This window comes from Homo sapiens, chromosome 14 (genome assembly GCF_000001405.40).
Source record: "Homo sapiens chromosome 14, GRCh38.p14 Primary Assembly".
Taxonomy (NCBI): domain Eukaryota; kingdom Metazoa; phylum Chordata; class Mammalia; order Primates; family Hominidae; genus Homo; species Homo sapiens.
This window is the reverse complement of record NC_000014.9, coordinates 26630224-26652443: the sequence shown is the minus strand read 5'-3', so window position 1 is coordinate 26652443 and position 22220 is coordinate 26630224. Positions and strand designations below refer to the sequence as shown.

The 22220-nt window shown below is 38.4% G+C and overlaps 1 long non-coding RNA gene across 1 annotated transcript in view; it reads right to left on the bottom strand.

The window, feature by feature from the left end:
- NOVA1-DT (NOVA1 divergent transcript) overlaps positions 1-22220 on the bottom strand; it is a 207821-nt gene that overhangs the window by 154024 nt on the left and 31577 nt on the right. The window contains exon 2 of the long non-coding RNA NR_147061.1: positions 15111-15249. This is a non-coding gene — a long non-coding RNA (NOVA1 divergent transcript). The remainder of the gene's footprint in view (positions 1-15110; positions 15250-22220) is intronic.

Here is a 22220-nt window from a genome sequence, read left to right as displayed (position 1 = left end):
ACATCCTCACAGACACACCAGAACAGTGTTTGGCCAAAATATAAGTATCCTGTGGCTTAGTCAAGTTGACACATAAAATTAACCTTCGTACCATGTTATACACAGAATTTGTTATAACATGACTTGCCAATCCTTAACAAAATCTTACTCTATAATTTCAGCCTGCACCTTTACGTATGCCTGAACTTGCCTAGCATTAAATTCATTGCAAAACTATAAACAATGCTATGATAGCATTCTTCATTTCTCAGCTTACAATTTTTGTATACGAGGGTTTGAATATTTTTGATAACAGTGTAGCATTAAATTAAAGTACAATGACTTAATAAGAAGTCGTACCTATATATGTTGAGATGATAGGACAAGATTTTTTTGATATATGCAAAAAATGAGTTAACCTACAAAATATTTAACTGAAGATCTCTGATCTTTTAAATTCAACAAATGATATCCTTCATATTTTGTGTTGCTCTATTTTATACAGTTTTTTTTGTTTTTACTAAACTTTTACAGAATCTGAGTCCTCTTTGTACTAATTTCTAGCAGCCACTTTTTGCTCATATTTATGGGTCAAAGATCATCACTTGAGACAGTAGCCCTTTGAAAATCAACTCTCTAAAATTTTCTTTGAAATATCTACAAAATCATCTTAAAAGGAATAATTTTCCATAAAGTAACAAGAAACAAAGAATAGGCATATTCTAGATTCTGGAAGGAATTTATGCAATCTTCCATTGACAATTTGGGATTAAGAATCAGCGCCTATTTGGGTTGCTCTTATTTTTACCTATTTCTCATGCTCATTCCAGTAGTTGAGTTTCTGAGTGTGTTTGGTAAAACTATTGTGTCAATTCAACTGTCATGTGGGAGCCCTCCCTTCCCATTAACTTTTTGGCTTTATACCCTATGCTGCCTCAGAATGTGTGCATTTTGCAATTTTAATGTCCTTCAAAAGTGCATCAACAGAAGCAGTTTTTTTGTTTCAGGTCCTTCCAGAAGAAGATTGTAAATAATATTCTTATCTGCGCACCACATTTTTGGCCTTTAACTTCTATCTGCAATCTGAGTGAAAATCAATAAGACCTCCAACCTAGAAGGTCTCATTGCATTTTACTTAGAAACAAATCAGTTTGATATCTAAACCCAGTACAAGGATTAATCCTCAGATACCTTGCATGAGTAGGTGTGCAAAATTTTATATGTATGTACCTGCAAACACATTTTCCTGGGTAAAAAGTTTGTGCCTTTCATCTGAGTCTTGGCAATGTTCTTCATCCCAAATAGATTGAAGCCACTGACCCATTAGGAGGTTCCATGTTTCATAAGTTGCCTTCTGTATTAGGGTTCCATATATATATATATAGAATATATATATATATATGCTTTCCTATTGATTCTGTTTTTCTGGAGAACCCTGACATATATATCATAAACACAGATATATATACACACACACACATATATACATATACATATATATACACACACACATACAAATATACACACACATATACGTATAAACATACACAGAGCAGAGATTTTATGCAATTGGCTCCTGTGATTATAGGGGCTAGCAAGTCTGAAATTCACAGGGCAGGGCAGGCTGATAAGATGGAAATTCCAGCAAGAGTTGATGTTGCAGTCTTGCATCCAAAGGGAATCTGGATGCACAATTCCTTTTTCTTCAGGAAACTTTGGTCTTTTTTCTTAAGGCCTTCAATGAATGGGATAAGGCCCACCCACATTATGGATGGTAAACTGCTTTACTTAGTCCACTTATTTAAATGATAATCACATTGAAGAAATGTCTTCATAGTAACATCTTAGACTGGTGTTTGACAAAAAAATTGGATCCACAGCCTAGTCAAGTTAACAAAATTAAATATCACACTTTCTATATACAAGGGCACTCTTCGGGCACTCTCTTTTGATGCTAGAGAGGCCTGAATCACAGTAAGCATCCAATAAATATTAGCTTTGTATTTATAATTCAATCTGTTCATCAGCATGAGATCAGAGAGCTGCCATCTACCATAACTAAGTCAAAAGTAGAATGGATTGCAATTTCTAACTGTATAAGTACTTGTCTGAATCTCTTTTTCTCTGTCCAAGAAGGATATATGCTGTATCACTGCTTTCCCGACATTCATGGTTAACATCAATAAGGAGAGTCAAGTTAAGAGATGAGACAGGAAAAACTAAAACAATAGTAACAACAACAAAAATCCCAAGCCTATAGTGAAAAGGAGCAGTAGAAAGAAAAAATAAAAATATATAATTTAGAGGTAGATCATCGCCTTTCAAGTTACTGATTGATTTGCTTGCCAAAATGGGACAACATTGTAGAATCTTACAGACTCAGTTTTCCAAAAGTTTATACTACCCAATTTTAAATTGGCTAATCACTGCTGTTTAACAATGTTTATTGTTCACTCTTTAGGAAAATAATTCTTAGAGTCAAAATAGAGGTTAGGCAGTACGGAGATTATAGTTGAAATCATTTTTCCTTAAGATGGAAATATGTTGCCTTCAGAGGACCTGTCCCTGAGCCTGGAGGAAAATACCTGCTGTCACAACTGTTATGGATAGCAGTACTTTATACTCAGAGATGATGTGCTGACGGAAACTTCTCCCATGGAAGAACTGAACAATTGTTTATAGTTGGGAAGGGCCTCCAAGTTTATGATGCTCCAATCTCATCATTTAACAGATAATATTATGAAGACCCAAGCAGACCCAGTGCCTTGCCATAATCACTCAGCTATAAGAGCTATTTCAAACCTTATCCGTGCTTTTCAAGCTTCCCCTGGTTGCTCTTCACCATTCTCTGACTCCTGAAAGATCATCTTTCAGTCTATCTCATCTTCCAAATTAAGACCACTGTCTTCTTTCTAACCTCAGTTTAGCTCTTTCTTAATTTCATTTTAAAAATCTTCTCTTCTCCTTCAGGAGAAAACTCAGCATTTTCCTTGCCAAAACTAACCCCCAATGTATGGTCATTGTCTTTCCTTCTCTTTCCATCTAGGACCTGGGTCTTCAAAATGAGACCAGAGGACACCAACATCCAAAACACCTTTTGTTCATTTAAAGTTCTCTTTTCTGGTTTCCATCCTGATCTTACTGAATCAGAATTACTGGAATGAGACCAGAATCTGCATTTTTACCCAAACACTCAAGATAATTAGGCTTTCCAAAGTTTAAGGAACAGTGCTCTTCAAAAATTCCATCAATAATTGCCTCTTTCTTTAACAGATCCAGAAACTTCTTAATTAGCTCTGTTATTTGGCTCACATTTCCTCAATATTGTTTATAAATTTTATTCAGATGTCATTTATAACCACCTAAATAGGTATTTAAATGGCCTTTTCCTAATCCATATCCTTAGCTTCTCTTCAGCATGATAAGATAGTCATATCATATAGCACTGAACTTCTGAAATTTCAGTTATGCACACTTGGCCAAAAAGAAAAAGAAAAAAATACAAAAGTAATCAGGTAATTTATGTGCTATTCCAGTCATTAAACGTCTACTCCAAAATGAACACGAGACGGGAGACCTGAAACCACCATCAGCTCAGTAGGTCTCTCATAGTGTGAGCTACTTACTCATTGAATATGAGCGCAGTTTTGAACACGTTGTCTTTCACATTCAACATGGCCCCTGTATAAAATTTAGCTATGCCCTACAGGACTCAAAGGAAAGGGAGAAGGGAAGGTAAGAAGGGAGGAAAGAAGAGAAAAAAAGAGGGAGAAAAGGAAGATATATTTTGGTTTGGGGAAGGAAAAAGAAAACTTACGCTGAATTTTTATTTTAAAAAACAACTGTGCATCGGTATGAAATCTGACCCCTTTCTGATAGATTTTGTAAAATAGTTTTGAATTTATACCATTTTTAACATATCACAAATTAAATTTTAACTTATGAATAAATGGAAATTCACTTAAATTATTAATTATACTCTTTATTAAACCACTTCCTTAGCCTCAGCAATTATACTCTCACTTAAACCTTATTGTTCCTTCTTATGTCTGACTCACTGGTTCCTTACGATAAAAGTAAAGGCATTTTTAGCTCCCTTCTTCCTCCTGCCTTTACTTTCTCTGGCTTGCTCCACTAATGAATTCTTATTGTAGAACAGGACCATCATTTAGTTTCTGAATTAAGTCCAGCCTAGGGAAGAATTCTTCCAGAAGCAAAACTCCATCATTGAAGTAGATTTGAAATTGTCATACTTCCTAGTAATATAATCAAGCGGCCCAGTCACAAATGTTAAGATGTTGTGTTTCTCTCCCAAATTTTCTTGTACTAGATTCATTAATTTGGGACTCAGGGACAAACTGCTGGTGCTTATGTCACTTAGAAGTCTCTGTTCTCTCCTATACAGACCCTATCCACAGGACTGAGTTTCTGCATTGACTTCTCACTCTTGGTGAGTGAGAGAGGCTGACTTGTTAGCCTATGCTGCTAAACACCATCAGCTTCTTTAAGTTTTATCAAATAGTGAAGCTGAGGAACTGACAAAGTGGGTAATGACAGGGACAGAAGTCTGGAAACAGGTCTAGTGGATCTGGGTGTACAGAATTATGGGAGATAAAACTAAAAGAAATGAAGGATGGAAAAACTTTAAAGAAACTCATTTTGCAAGTGTTCAGCCTTTCAGGCACTTTTACTTTCATACTACTATCCAATATTAGACTGAACTTTAATAGTAACTTTTACAATTTATGGTATGCTCTGACTTTTATTCAGAAAAGCACACACATTTCTGTTTTTGAAAATGTCAAAGAATCACTACGAAATTAGTTCTAATCGGATCCTTGCCATTAGTGAAGTGTGAATTCAGCAGCATTCAGAGGAAATGGCTTTAGGAAGATAAAAATTAATCTATCATGCTAAAAGATCATTGAAAACACTATTTTATAAGCCAAATTGATGGCAGCTATATTAACCAAAATACATTTGCAAGGGAAATTTTTAAGAACTATATCTTTATTTCCATTAGATGAAAGTATGTGCATGTCTCCACTCATATATAAGCAGTTAAAATTATAGGATATTTTACAGTTGAAAAGGACTTAATTATGAAGTCCAACACTTTTATTTTATAGATGAAGGTACTAAGGCCTAGCAAAAGCAGACTAAATAACACATCTAACACCTAGTTAGTGGCAATTCCAACTCCAAACTCTTTTCCAGTATTATTTCATTTCTATAACAATCTATTGAACACCTTCTCTGTGTACTGGATCAATGATAAATGGAAAGACCCAGTCTCAGCCTTGAGTTATCACACTTCCCTTAATATTTACATGAACTAGCTTTCCTATTCTGTATATGTTTAAAAAACATAGCCTTCTTTCTCACCTGTTGACTTCTCCAGAGAGTCTTGGTTTTCCTACTGGCCTTTCGCTCCACTTTCCTTGATACATTCTTACAACAATGTTTCATTTTTTGTGACCAAGTTACCCTAAAAGGGACAAATAACTTATCTCATATTTCCCAAAGTTCCCAGAAATATAAGATCTTCAGATTTAACTGAGTTTTCTAAAAAAAAAATAATAACAATAATGGTATAGTGAATGGACATTAAATCAGAGCTGTAGCCCTTAGGATTTTTGGTTGTATGTGGTAGAAAAATAAATCTCTAACTACACAAAATTATTCATTCAACAAACAGTTATTGGTCCAAGAATTGGGGAATTTACAGTGAAAAAAATACTCAGAAACTTCTGCTGTCACAGAGTTGCATTTTTCTTTGGGGAGATAGATAATAAACAAGTCAATAAATATAAATATGCAGTGATCACAGAAGGGCACAAGATGTAGTTTATGTTTTAGTTAGGGGAGTAAAGGAAAACTTCATGGAGAAGGTATATTTAAAGAGAAACTTGAAGAAACTGTAGAAGTCATGTAGACATCTGAAAGATGGGAGTTCTAGGCAGAGGAAACAGTGCTGTCTCAGAACATGTTAGGAAAAGTGTTGAATGGATTCAGCCTAGACTACTTTCAAACTAATTGCTATGTAGAGTATTATGAGATTACCTGATCATTTAGACTAATTTGCTATGACTGTTGGAGGAGAAAAAAAGGTTCATCTCATCTAAACCAAATGGTTGCCACATAATCAGGGAAGAGGGGAAGGGATATTGAAATGATAGACGCAATGTCCAATATAAAGGCATGGAAAGGTCACAGGCAAGATAGCTGAATAGGAACAGCTCCAGTCTGCAGCTCCCAGCAAGATCAAAGCAGAAGGTGGATGATTTCTGTATTTCCAACTGAGGTACCCAGCTCATCTCACTGGGACTGGTTAGACAGTGGGTACAGCCCACAAAGGGCTAGGAGAAGCAGGGTGGGAGTCATCTCACCAGGGAAGCGCAAGGAGTCAGGGAACTCCCTCCCCTAGCCAAAGGAAGCCATGAGGGACTGTGCCATGAGGAATGGTGCACTTTGGCCCACATACTATGCTTTTCCCACAGTCTTCACAAGCCACAAACCAGGAAATTCCCTTGGGTGCCTACACCACCAGGGCCGTGGGTTTCAAGCACAGAACTGGGTGGTCATTGGGCAGACACTGAGCTAGCTGCAGGAGTCTTTTCATACCCCAGTGGCTCCTGGAATGCCAGTGAGACAAAACCATTCACTTCCCTGGAAAGGGGGCTGAAGCCAGGTAGCCCAGTGGTCTAGTTCAGCGGATCCTACCCACATGTAGCCCAGCAAGCTAAGATCCACTGCCTTGAAATTCTCATTGCCAGCACAGCAGTCTGAAGTCAACCTGGGGTGCTCGAGCTTCGTGCAGGGAGGAGCATCCACCATTACTGAGGCTTGAGTAGACAGTTTTCCCCTCATACTGTAAACAAAGCCGCCAGGAATTTCAAACTGGGCAGAGGCCACCGCAGTTCAGCAAAGCCAGACGGCCTCTCTAGATTCCTCCTCACTGGTCAGGGAATCTCTGAAAGAAAGGCAGCAGCCTCAGTCAGGGACTTATATATAAAACTCCCATCTACCTGGGACAGATCAACTGGGGGAAGGGGTGGCTGTGGACACAGTTTCAGCAGACTTAAATGTTCCAGCCTGCTGACTCTGAAGAGAGCAGCAAATCTCCCAGCACAGCGCTCGAGCTCTGCTAAGGGACAGACTGCCTCCTCAAGTTGGTCCCTGACCCCCATGCCTCCTGCATGGGAGACGCCTCCCAGCAGGGGTCGACAGACACCTCATATAGGAGAGCTTCGGCTGGCATTTGGCAGGTGCCCCTCTGGGATGAAGCTTCCAGAGGAAGGAACAGGCAGCAATCTTTGCTGTGCTGCAGCCTCTGATGGTGATACCCAGGCAAACAGGGTCTGGAGTGGACCTTCAGCAAACTCTAGCAGACCTGCAGCAGAGGGGCGTGACTGTTAGAAGGAAAACTAACAAACGGAAAGGAGTAGCAACATCAACAAAAAAGAACGTCCACCCAGAAACCCCATCCGAAGGTCACCAACATCAAAGACCAAAGGTAGATAAATCCACAAAGATGACGAAAAGCCGGCAGAAAAAGGCTGAAAATTCCAAAAACCAGAACGCCTCCTCTCCAAAGGATCACAATTCCTCACCACAAGGGAACAAAACTGGACAGAGAATGAGTTTGACAAATTCACAGAAGTAGGCTTCAGAAGGTGGGTAACCACAAACTCCTCTGAGCTAAAGGAGCATGTTCTAACCCAATGCAGGGAAGCTAAGAACCTTGATAAAAGTTAGAGGAATTGCTAACTAGAATAATATGTTTCTAGAAGAACATAGGTGACCTGATAGAGCTGAAAAACAGCACGAGAACTTTGTGAAGCATAAACAAGTATCAACAGCCAAATCGATCAAATGGAAAAATGGATATCGGAGATTGAAGAACAATTTAATGAAATAAAGCATGAAGAAAAGATTAGAGAAAAAAGAATAAAAAGGGACAAACAAAGCAGCCAAGAAATATGGGACTATGTGAAAAAAACCAAACCTATGCTTGATTGGTGTATCTGAAAGTGATCGGGAGAATGGAACCAAGTTGGAAAACACTCTGCAGGATATTATCCAGGAGAACTTCCCCAACCCAGCAAGGCAGGCCAACATCCAAAATCAGGAAATACCAAGAACACCACCAAGATACTCCTTGAGAAGAGCAACCCAAACACATATAATCATCAGATACACCAAGGTTGAAATGAAGGAAAAAATGTTAAGGGCAGCCAGAGAGAAAGGTCAGGTTACCCACAAAGGGAAGACCATCAGACTAACAGTGGATCTCTCTGCAGAAACTCTACAAGCTAAATGAGAGTGAGGGCCAATATTCAGCATTCTTAAAGAAGAGAATTTTCAACCCAGAATTTAATATCCACCCAAACTAAGTTTCATAAGTGAAGGAGAAATAAAATCCTTTACAGAGAAGCAAATGCTGAGAGATTTTGTCACCACCAGGCCTGCCTTACAAGAGCTCCTGAGGGAAGCACTGAATATGGAAAGGAAAAACCAGTAACAGCCACTGCAAAAACATATCAAATTGTAAAGACCATCAACGCTATGATGAAACCACATCAAATAGTGGGCAAAATAACCAGCTAGCATCATAATGATGGGATCAAATTCACACATAACAATATTAACCTGAAATGTAAATGGGCTAAATGCCCCAGTTAAAAGACACAGACTGGCAAATTGGATAGTCAAGACCCATCGGTGTGTTGTATTCAGGAGACCCATCTCATGTGCAAAGATACATAGAGGCACAAAATAAAGGGATGGAGGAAGATCTAGCAAGCAAATAGAAAGAAAAAAAAAAAAAAGCAGGGATTGCAATCTTAGTCTCTGATAAAACAGACTTTAAACCAACAAAGATCAAAAAAGACGAAGAAGGGCATTACACAATGGTAAAGGGATCAATGCAACAAGAAGAGCTAACTATCTCAAATATATATGCACCGAATACAGGAACACCCAGATTCATAAAGCAATCTCTTAGAGACCTACAAAGAGACTTAGACTCCCACACAATAATAGTGGGAGACTGTAACACCCCACTGTCAATATTAGACAGATCAACAAGACAAAAAATTAACAAAGATATTCAGGACTTCAACTCAGCTCTGGACCAAGCAGACCTAATAGATATCTACAGAACTCTCCATCCCAAATCTACAGAATATACATTCTTCTCAGCACCACATCGGACTTATTCTAAAATTGACCGCATAATTGGAAGTAAAACACTCCTCAGCCAATGCAAAAGAATGGAAATCATAACAGTCTCTCAGACCACAGTGCAATCAAATTAGAACTCAGGATTAAGAAACTCACTCAAAACTACACAACTACATGGAAACTGAACAACTTGCTCCTGAATGACTGCTGGGTAAATAACGAAATTAAGGCAGAAAGAACTAAGTTCTTTGAAACCAATGAGAACAAAGACACAACATACCAGAATCTCTGGGACACAGCTAAAGCAATGTTTAGAGGGAAATTTATAGCACTAAATGCCTACAGGAGAAAGCAGGAAAGATCTAAAATCGACACCCTAACATCACAATTAAAAGAACTAGAGCCGCAAGAGCAAACAAATTCAAAAGCTAGCAGAAGACAAGAAATAACCAAGATCAGGGCAGAACTGAAGCAGCTAGAGACACAAAAAACCCTTCAAAACATCAATGAATCCAGGAGCTGGTTTTTTGAAAAAAAAATCAACAAAATAGATTGACCACTTGCCAGACTAATAAGAAAGAAAACAGAGAAGAATCAAATACACACAATAAAAAATGATGGAGGGGATATCACCACTGATCCCACAAAAATAAAAACTACCATCAGGGAATACTACAAACAACTCTACACAAATTTAAAAATCTAGAAGAAACAGATAAATTCCTGGACACATACATCCTCCCAAGACTAAACCAAGAAGTCGAATCCCTGAACAGATCAATAACAAGTTCTGAAATTGAGGCAGTAATTAATAGCTTACCAATACAAAAAAGCCCAGGACCAGACAGATTCACAGCCAAATTCTACCGGAGGTACAAAGAGGAGTTGATACCATTCCTTCTGAAACTATTCCAAACAATAGAAAAAGAGGGACTCCTCCCTAACTCATTTTATGAGGCCAGCATCATCCTGATACCAAAACCTGGCAGAGACACAACAAAAAAAGAAAATTTCAGGCTAATATCCCTGATGAACATCAATGTGAAGATCCTCAATAAAATACTGGCAAACAGAATCCAGCAGCACATCAAAAAGCTTATCCATTGGGATCAAGTCAGCTTCATCCCTGGGATACAAGGCTGGTTCAACATATGCAAATCAATAAACGTAATCCATCACATAAACAGAACCAATGACAAAAACCACATGGTTATCTCAATAGATGCAGAAAAGGTCTTCAATGAAATTCAACACACCTTCATGCCAAAAACTCTCAATAAACTCCGTATTGATGGAATGTATCTTAAAATAATAAGAGCTATTTATGACAAACCCACAGCCAATATCATACTGAATGGCGAAAAACTGGAAGGATTCCCTTTGAAAACCAGTACAAGACAAGGATGTCCTCTCTCACCACTCCTGTTCAACACAATATTGGAAGTTCTGGCCAGGGCAAACAGGCAAGAGAAAGCAATAAAGGATATTCAGATAGGAAGAGAAGTCAAATTGTCTCTGTTTGCAGATGCCATGATTGTGTATTTAGAAAACCTCATCATCTCAGCCCAAAATCTCCTTAAGCGGATAAAAAACTTCAGCAAAGTCTCAAGATACAAAATCAATGTGCAAAAATCACAAGCATTCCTATACAACAATAATAGACAAACAGAGAGCCAAGTCATGAGTGAACTCTCATTCACAATTGCTACAAAGAGAATAAAATACCTAAGAATACAACTTGAAAGGCCTCTTCAAGAAGAACTGTAAACCACTGCTCAAGAATACAAGAGAGAACACAAACAAATGGAAAAACATTCCATGCTCATGGATAGGAAGAATCAATATCACGAAACTGGCCATACTGGCCAAAGTAATTTATAGATTCAATGCTACCCCATCAAGCTACCATTGACTGTTTTCACAGAATTAGAAAAAACTACTTTAACTTTCATATGGAACCAAAAAAGAGCCCATATAGCCAAGACAATCCTAAGCAAAAATAACAAAGCTGGAGGCATCATGTTACCCAACTTCAAACTATACCACAAGTCTACAGTAACTAAAACAGCATGGTACCGGTACCAAAACAGATATATAGACTAATGGAACAGAACAGAAGCCTCAGAAATAATGCCACCCATCTACAACAATCTGATCTTTGACAAACCTGACACAAACAAGCAATAGGGAAAAGATTCCCTATTTAATAAATGGTGTTGGGAAAACTAGCTAGCCACATGCAGAAAACTGAAACTGGACAACATCCTTATACCTTACACAATAATTAACTCAAGATGGATTAAAGACTTAAACATAAGACTTACAACCATAAAACCTCCCCTAGAAGAAAACCTAGGCAATACCATTCAGGACATAGGCATGGACAAAGAGTTCATGACTAAATCACCAAAAGCAATGGCAACAAAAGCCAAAATTGACAAATGGGCTCTAATTAAACTAAAGAGCTTCTGCACAGCAAAAGAAACTATCATCAGAGTGAACAGGCAACCTACAGAATGGGGGAAAATTTTTGCAATCTATCCATCTGACAAAGGGCTAATATCCAGAATTTACAAATAACTTAAAGAAATTTACAAGGAAAAAACAATCAAGCCCATCAAAAAGCCTGCAAAGGATATGAACAGGCCCTTCTCAAAAGAAGTCATTTATGCAGCCAACAAACATATGAAAAAAAACTCATCATCACTGGTCATTGGAGAAATGCAAATCAAAACCACAGCGAGATACCATCTCATGCCAGTTAGCATGGTGATTATTAAAAACTCAGGAAACAACAGATGCTGGAGAGGATATGAAGAAATAGGAAAGCTATTACACTGTTGGTGGGAGTGTAAATTAGTTTAACCATTGTGGAAGACTGTGTGGCGATTCCTTAAGTATCTAGATCCAGAAATACCATTTGACCCAGCAATCCCATTACTGGGTAGATACTCAAAGGATTATTATAAATCATTCTACTATAAAGACACATGCACATGTATGTTTATTGCAGCACTGTTCACAATAGCAAAGACTGGGAACCAACCCAACTGCCCATCAATGATAGACTGGATAAAGAAAATATGGTACACATACAACATGGAATACTATGCAGTCATACAAAATAATGAGTTCATGTCCTTTGCAGGGACATAGATGAAGCTGGAAACCATCATTCTCAGCAAACTAACACAGGAACAGAAAACAAAACACTGCATGCCTCACTTATAAGTGGGAGTTGAACAACAAGAACACATGGACACAAGGAAGGGAACATCACACACTGGGGCCTGTTGGGAGGTGGGGGGCTAGGGGAGGGATAGCATTAGGAGAAATACCTAATGTAGATGACGGGTTGATGGGTGGAGCAAACCACTATGGCACATGCTTACCTATTTAGCAAACCTGCACGTTCTGCACATGTATCCCAGAACTTAAAGTATAATTAAAAAAAAATACATGGAAAAATGGAAGAGCAAATGACTTAAAATTAAATACTGGATGCAACTTTTTATTTTTTTGGATACAGGGTCTCACTCTATCATTCAGCCTGGGGTGCAGTGACACGATTTCAATGACATTTTTAGCATGATAGATTAACTTTTATGTTTCTCACTGCAGACTCTATCACCTGGGCTCAATTGATCCTCCCTCCTCAGTCTCCAGAGTAGCTGGGACTACAGGCTCGTGCCATGACACCTGGCTATTTTTTTTGTATTTTTTGTAGAGATGTGGTTTCGCCATGTTGCCCAGGCTGGTCTCAAACTCCTGGACTCAAGGAAGCCTCCTGCCTTGGCCTCCCAAAATATTGGGATTACAGGTGTGAGCCACTGCACCCAACCTGGATGCAACTATTATCACAAGCTTTTGGCAATTCCTATCCTGGGAAATCCTCACTGGCTGGTTTTACTGTGAAGATTCCCCAACCGAAAAGGCTTTCCACATTGCATGACTTTCTGTTCCTTAAAATCTTTTTCAAATTTGTTTTTCATTCTGCTTTGCAGGCTCCTTAAACCACTCTACCCCATGTTGTCACCGGAAAATAAAAATTCACATCACTTGTCACTTGATTGTACAGAGGAATGAAATTCAAGTCAGTTGTGTATATACACAAATTCATTAAGGTGGCCCATTAAATGAATAACTGTTCACTCCAGGTTTGGACCTTTTAACAGAATGGAAGAACTTACAGAGTTTTTGAAAATTTTGCTGTTTTTCCTTAAATATGTGTCAATTTTCATTCTTCCTCTATGAACCTCTGTGACAAGGAACTATAATGAGTTTTTCTCTTTCTTTTTCTTTATTTTATTTTATTTTATTTTATTTTACTTTATTTTATTTTAGAGACAGGGTCTCACTCTGTCACCCAGGCTGGAGTGCAGTGGCACAACCATAGCTCACTGCAGCCTCAACCTCAATGTCTTGGGCTCAAGTGATTTTCCTACCTCAGCCTCCCAAGTAGCTGAGACTACAGGCATGTAAAACAATGCCCAGCTAATAATTTTTTTTTTTTTTTTTTTGGAGAGGTGAAGTCTCACGATGTTGTGCAGGCTGGATTTGAACACCTGAGCTCTTCCTCTGCCTTCTAAACTGCTGGGATTACAGGTGTGAGCCACAGTGCCTGGCTAGAACTATACAATTTTTTTTTAAAGCAGATATGAATTGTCTTAGAAAACAGCAGCAGCAAGAAAGCCAGAATTATATACAATTATCTGAAATATTTTTGTTTTAAACAGACGTTTTCTCTGTCCTACAATAATTATTCAGTGATTTGAGAACTGTAAAGAAGTTATAGACAGAATGCTGTAATAGCTAAGTAGAATGGGCATCTAATTCTGCCAAACATGTCGACGGAACAGTATTACGTTTATCTATAGATAATGCTGAAGCCACTGAAAGCTTCCAAGACACAAAATTATATTTTAGAATAACTCTAAAAGTTATGGATGAGCAGTTAGGAGGATGATGAATAAAACTAGATGCCATGTTGTCAGTTTGAAAGCTACATCTATAGCCTACTATAGGAGAATAAGGAAATGGTCCAAAGCAGTGAAAGAACTGCTAGAAAGTGGCTCCCATTTAAACACATATAATTATCAAGTTGAATTATTATGGTTCTTTTCTAATATTTCCTATCAAACAAACCATAGCAATATGGGGTGACGTCTTTGGAAGCATAAAGGTTGAGTGAACAACTTGTTATTTTTGCCACATCCTTTTGCATTTTGTTATTTTGCCAATATCTTTTTTTTTCTTTTCCCATTAACACACTTGAATTTTGTTTTGAGGTAAGTGGTCTTCTCCCATTAAGTCCAGTCCAGTTAGGAAATCAATCAAGAGGATTTGCTTCCCTTCATGTTCTTCAATTTAGATCAATAAGATATGTTTTATCTGAAATTTGTGACAGAGCAAGGAGTAAACAAGAAAGAAAAAGAAGACTGAGAGGGTTTGGACCTGTTTTATCCCATCAGCAGTACCTGATGAGTTCTTTGTTGTTGCTACCAGGATTCCAAAAGCTGCCCTGAGTTTTATTTTTTAAAGTTTTTCTTGTTTCTTTTTAAATAAGCTATCCTTGTATCTTCTTATATCCTCCAAGAAATTATTTTTTTCCTACATTAGCTAGGGTGAGCTTCTGTTCCTTATAACAAAAGCAACTTAAATAATATAAAAGTATCATAAAAAATGAGTCAAGACATAACAGGATGAAAAACCAGGCCTCTTAATAATCAGTCTAGAGGCTTTTCTACCATGTCATGCTACTTCTAAATATTGAACAAGAGAAAATGTTCTTCAAACATGAGAAACATAATGTCTAATGGAAATGTGTTCTTCAACACTGTAATAATATAAAGAAGGATATAGTAGCAGGTTTAGATCCCATAAGATATTGGTAAAGAACAAATTCAATATTATACATGCTAGGACTTTATGTTAGTATGACCTACCTTAGCCAGTTATGAAAATTATATGAAAATCCTGAACAAATCTAATGCAGTTGTGGGAGTCTAGTAGTGATGGATCACATGGCAAGTTCTTGGACCTTATCATCAAAACAGTCTGGGAATTTCTGAGCTCTCACTGTTGCTGCAAAAAAAAAAAAATACATTTTGTGGTTTGTGCATGAATTAAAGAATCTTCAGTCAAGACTTTAAATTGGAGCTTTTGCAAATAATAAAAAGCCTAGTTAGTTAAAATGTAAAATCATCTTCCAGGTTCACTGAGTGTGCAAGAATAAAATTTAATGGAACCGGCAAGCTTCTTTCTGCTTCGTTTGTTTGCCCCCAAGTTTAAGTGATGATCAGACTCTTCAGACTGCACTTTGATCTCTCTGGCTTCTGGAAGTGAAAGAATTCTTTAATTTATTTTTGCTAAGTAGGAAGCGTTGCTTCATCCACAGTAAAAATCAAGCAGAAACGTGTAATACAGAAGCTATTCAGAATGAAGAAGGATGAATTCAAAGAGAAACAAATCAACAGACTGAAAAATCCTGAAAGCTGACACATATCAATGGTGAAAACATTGGTAGATTGCCAGAAAGTATTTTGGCGGAAGATATTCAAATTTAGCAGAGCTAACTTTAGAATGAGGAAAGGCAGTTAGCTAGAGAAAAAAGCGAAAACAAAAGTGAATAAAAAAATTGGAGTTGATTTTAAGACGAGACATCATAGTCCCTTTGTTTTAATGACAAAAAAAAACAAAAAAAAGAGTTAAAATCTTTTTACTTGCTGAAGAATTACTGAAAATGAAAATCCATTGTAACTAAGCAACAACACTATGATTTCTCTGATTTAGTATGCTGTCATATAATCAACAAGAGAAAATAAGAATATTGTAAATAAAGTGTAATTTTACTGATCCTGGCCAAATAGATCTGAAAACTACAGGCCACATCCTCCCATTGATCCATTCTCCAAAGCTCCACTGATGGAGGTAAGACACTAACAGCCTTAGCTGAAAACTGCTTATCTTCATGATTCAGGATGGCAGGAAAGCAGATCCATATGTCTAGATGTGTTCTTTAAGTATGCAATTAATTTATTTAAGATATTTTTCATTAGTTGAGTTACAGAATAAATAATTTGACAAGGAGGTTTTGAATTAATTGTGAAACACATGTAACAGAAGATAGCACTAAAATGCAATGGAGTAATCTAACAGGCCAAAAAAGAGAAGACAAATGAAGCTTCCTTGATGACCAAATAAAAAAACATTTGAATTCCTATATATTGAGTTATTGTGCTCACAGATAACATTATTTTACTTTTTGCTTATCTGGATGACAATCTGTGTGGTAGAGGTACAATGGTATCTTATAAATATGTCTTGTCAGTCTTCTAAATTTCTGTTGTGAAAAACATTACTTTTATGAGCTATGGAAAGTTACTTTAATAACTAAATGACATAGAAGATAATAGATATATACCATATGTTATAGATGCATTCAAAGTAGAAGTAAAAGTTTGTATGACTAAATTAGAAGATAAAATTAAATTCTACACCAGAGAAGATTAAAAAATGGTTAGCTTGAAAACCTGAATTGGCATGCATTTCTTTCTTTAGACATTCAGCCTTCTTGTGAGTTATTTCTAAATTTATTGAAGCTTTGCTTCAACAGAAAATATTTTGAATTGCTGATCTTTCTTCTTAGAGAATTCCTCTATTCCCCAGTAATCTCTAAGTTTGCTTTATCATAGACATGAATTTCAATGCAATATTTAATAACTATCATCATCTGTATAGGCAGATGTCAACTATCAGGACAAAAATGGGATGACTATAATTGACCATCCCTTCAGCTTGTATCTTTTTTTATGATATTAAATTTCTATAAGATATTGATGACCTATGCATCAAATTTATCTGTGTTACATAAGAAAATCAGTTTATTAGGCAAGCAGGCTGAAAATGGGTTAGTTCCTCTGCGTTTTACTCTTGTCATAGTGTAGACAGTGACATCCACTTAGAATACTATTATTTTTGGGGGAGGAGCCAAGATGGCCGAATAGGAACAGCTCCGGTCTACAGCTCCCAGCGTGAGCGATGCAGAAGACGGGTGATTTCTGCATTTCCATCTGAGGTACCGGGTTCATCTCACTAGGGAGTGCCAGACAGTGGGCGCAGGCCGGTGAGTGCGCGCACCGTGCGCGAGCCAAAGCAGGGTGAGGCATTGCCTCACCTGGGAAGCGCAAGGGGTCAGGGAGTTCCCTTTCCGACTCAAAGAAAGGGGTGACGGACGCACCTGGACAATCGGGTCACTCCCACCCGAATATTGCGCTTTTCAGACCGGCTTAAAAAACGGCGCACCACGAGACTATATCCCACACCTGGCACGGAGGGTCCTACGCCCACGGAGTCTCGCTGATTGCTAGCACAGCAGTCTGAGATCAAACTGCAAGGCGGCAGCGAGGCTGGGGGAGGGGCGCCCGCCATTGCCCAGGCTCCCGTAGGTAAACAAAGCAGCCGGGAAGCTCGAACTGGGTGGAGCCCATCACAGCTCAAGGAGGCCTGCCTGCCTCTGTAGGCTCCACCTCTGGGGGCAGGGCACAGAGAAACAAAAAGACAGCAGTAACCTCTGCAGACTTAAATGTCCCTGTCTGACAGCTTTGAAGAGAGCAGTGGTTCTCTCAGCACGCAGCTGGAGATCTGAGAACGGGCAGACTGCCTCCTCAAGTGGGTCCCTGACCCCTGACCCCTGAGCAGCCTAACTGGGAGGCACCCCCCAGCAGGGGCACACTGACACCTCACACTGCAGGGTATTCCAACAGACCTGCAGCTGAGGGTCCTGTCTGTTAGAAGGAAAACTAACAAACAGAAAGTACATCCACACCAAAAACCCATCTGTACATCACCATCATCAAAGACCAAAAGTAGATAAAACCACAAAGATGGGGAAAAAACAGAACAGAAAAACTGGAAACTCTAAAACGCAGAGTGCCTCTCCTCCTCCAAAGGAACGCAGTTCCTCACCAGCAACGGAACAAAGCTGGATGGAGAATGACTTTGACGAGCTGAGAGAAGAAGGCTTCAGACGATCAAATTACTCTGAGCTACGGGAGGACATTCAAACCAAAGGCAAAGAACTTGAAAACTTTGAAAAAAATTTAGAAGAATGTATAACTAGAATAACCAATACAGAGAAGTGCTTAAAGGAGCTGATGGAGCTGAAAACCAAGGCTCGAGAACTACGTGAAGAATGCAGAAGCCTCAGGAGCCACTGCGATCAACTGGAAGAAAGGGTATCAGCGATGGAAGATGAAATGAATGAAATGAAGCAAGAAGGGAAGTTTAGAGAAAAAAGAATAAAAAGAAATGAGCAAAGCCTCCAAGAAATATGGGACTATCTGAAAAGACCAAATCTACGTCTGATTGGTGTACCTGAAAGTGATGGTGAGAATGGAACCAAGTTGGAAAACACTCTGCAGGATATTATCCAGGAGAACTTCCCCAATCTAGCAAGGCAGGCCAACGTTCAGATTCAGGAAATACAGAGAACGCCACAAAGATACTCCTTGAGAAGAGCAACTCCAAGACACATAATTGTCAGATTCACCAAAGTTGAAATGAAGGAAAAAATGTTAAGGGCAGCCAGAGAGAAAGGTCGGGTTACCCTCAAAGGGAAGCCCATCAGACTAACAGCGGATCTCTCGGCAGAAACCCTACAAGCCAGAAGAGAGTGGGGGCCAATATTCAACATTCTTAAAGAAAAGAATTTTCAACCCAGAATTTCATATCCAGCCAAACTAAGCTTCATAAGTGAAGGAGAAATAAAATACTTTACAGACAAGCAAGTGCTGAGAGATTTTGTCACCACCAGACCTGCCCTAAAAGAGCTCCTGAAGGAAGCGCTAAACATGGAAAGGAACAACCGGTACCAGCCGCTGCAAAATCATGCCAAAATGTAAAGACCATCGAGACTAGGAAGAAACTGCATCAACTAACGAGCAAAATCACCAGCTAACATCATAATGACAGGATCACATTCACACATAACAATATTAACTTTAAATGTAAATGGACTAAATTCTCCAATTAAAAGACACAGACTGGCAAATTGGATAAAGAGTCAAGACCCATCAGTGTGCTGTATTCAGGAAACCCATCTCATGTGCAGAGACACACATAGGCTCAAAATAAAAGGATGGAGGAAGATCTACCAAGCAAATGGAAAACAAAAAAAGGCAGGGGTTGCAATCCTAGTCTCTGATAAAACAGACTTTAAACAAACAAAGATCAAAAGAGACAAAGAAGGCCAATACATAATGGTAAAGGGATCAATTCAACAAGAGGAGCTAACTATCCTAAATATATATGCACCCAATACAGGAGCACCCAGATTCATAAAGCAAGTCCTGAGTGACCTACAAAGAGACTTAGACTCCCACACATTAATAATGGGAGACTTTAACACCCCACTGTCAACATTAGACAGATCAACGAGACAGAAAGTCAACAAGGATACCCAGGAATTGAACTCAGCTCTGCACCAAGCAGACCTAATAGACATCTACAGAACTCTCCACCCCAAATCAACAGAATATACATTTTTTTCAGCACCACACCACACCTATTCGAAAATTGACCACATACTTGGAAGTAAAGCTCTCCTCAGCAAATGTAAAAGAACAGAAATTATAACAAACTATCTCTCAGACCACAGTGCAATCAAACTAGAACTCAGGATTAAGAATCTCACTCAAAGCCTCTCAACTACATGGAAACTGAACAACCTGCTCCTGAATGAATACTGGGTACATAACGAAATGAAGGCAGAAATAAAGATGTTCTTTGAAACCAACGAGAACAAAGACACAACATACCAGAATCTCTGGGACGCATTCAAAGCAGTGTGTAGAGGGAAATTTATAGCACTAAATGCCCACAAGAGAAAGCAGGAAAGATCCAAAATTGACACCCTAACATCACAATTAAAAGAACTAGAAAAGCAAGAGCAAACACATTCAAAAGCTAGCAGAAGGCAAGAAATAACTAAAATCAGAGCAGAACTGAAGGAAATAGAGACACAAAAAACCCTTCAAAAAATCAATGAATCCAGGAGCTGGTTTTTTGAAAGGATCAACAAAATTGATAGACCGCTAGCAAGACTAATAAAGAAAAAAAGAGAGAAGAATCAAATAGACACAATAAAAAATGATAAAGGGGATATCACCACTGATCCCACAGAAATACAAACTACCATCAGAGAATACTACAAACACCTCTACGCAAATAAACTAGAAAATCTAGCAGAAATGGATAAATTCCTTGACACATACACTCTCCCAAGACTAAACCAGGAAGGAGTTGAATCTCTGAATAGACCAATAACAGGAGCTGAAATTGTGGCAATAATCAATAGTTTACCAACCAAAAAGAGTCCAGGACCAGATGGATTCACAGCCGAATTCTACCAGAGGTACAAGGAGGAACTGGTACCATTCCTTCTGAAACTATTCCAATCAATAGAAAAAGAGGGAATCCTCCCTAACTCATTTTATGAGGCCAGCATCATTCTGATACCAAAGCCGGGCAGAGACACAACCAAAAAAGAGAATTTTAGACCAATATCCTTGATGAACATTGATGCAAAAATCCTCAATAAAATACTGGCAAACCGAATCCAGCAGCACATCAAAAAGCTTATCCACCATGATCAAGTGAGCTTCATCCCTGGGATGCAAGGCTGGTTCAATATATGCAAATCAATAAATGTAATCCAGCATATAAACAGAGCCAAAGACAAAAACCACATGATTATCTCAATAGATGCAGAAAAAGCCTTTGACAAAATTCAACAACGCTTCATGCTAAAAACTCTCAATAAATTAGGTATTGATGGGACATATTTCAAAATAATAAGAGCTATCTATGACAAACCCATAGCCAATATCATACTGAATGGGCAAAAACTGGAAGCATTCCCTTTGAAAACTGGCACAAGACAGGGATGCTCTCTCTCACCGCTCCTATTCAACATAGTGTTGGAAGTTCTGGCCAGGGCAATTAGGCAGGAGAAGGAAATAAAGGGTATTGAATTAGGAAAAGAGGAAGTCAAATTGTCCCTGTTTGCAGACGACATGATTGTATATCTAGAAAACCCCATTGTCTCAGCCCAAAATCTCCTTAAGCTGATAAGCAACTTCAGCAAAGTCTCAGGATACAAAATCAACGTACAAAAATCACAAGCATTCTTATACACCAACAACAGACAAACAGAGAGCCAAATCATGAGTGAACTTCCATTCACAATTGCTTCAAAGAGAATAAAATACCTAGGAATCCAACTTACAAGGGATGGGAAGGACCTCTTCAAGGAGAACTACAAACCACTGCTCAAGGAAATAAAAGAGGATACAAACAAATGGAAGAACATTCCATGCTCATGGGTAGGAAGAATCAATATCGTGAAAATGGCCATACTGCCCAAGGTAATTTACAGATTCAATGCCATCCCCATCAAGCTACCAATGCCTTTCTTCACAGAATTGGAAAAAACTACTTTAAAGTTCATATGGAACCAAAAAAGAGCCCGCATCGCCAAGTCAATCCTAAGCCAAAAGAACAAAGCTGGAGGCATCACACTACCTGACTTCAAACTATACGACAAGGCTACAGTAACCAAAACAGCATGGTACTGGTACCAAAACAGAGATATAGATCAATGGAACAGAACAGAGCCCTCAGAAATAACGCTGCATACCTACAACTATCTGATCTTTGACAAACCTGACAAAAACAAGCAATGGGGAAAGGATTCCCTATTTAATAAATGGTGCTGGGAAAACTGGCTAGCCATATGTAGAAAGCTGAAACTGGATCCCTTCCTTATACCTTATACAAAAATCAATTCAAGATGGATTAAAGATTTAAACGTTAGACCTAAAACCATAAAAACCCTAGAAGAAAACCTAGGCATTACCATTCAGGACATAGGCATGGGCAAGGACTTCATGTCCAAAACACCAAAAGCAATGGCAACAAAAGCCAAAATTGACAAATGGGATCTAATTAAACTCAAGAGCTTCTGCACAGCAAAAGAAACTACCATCAGAGTGAAC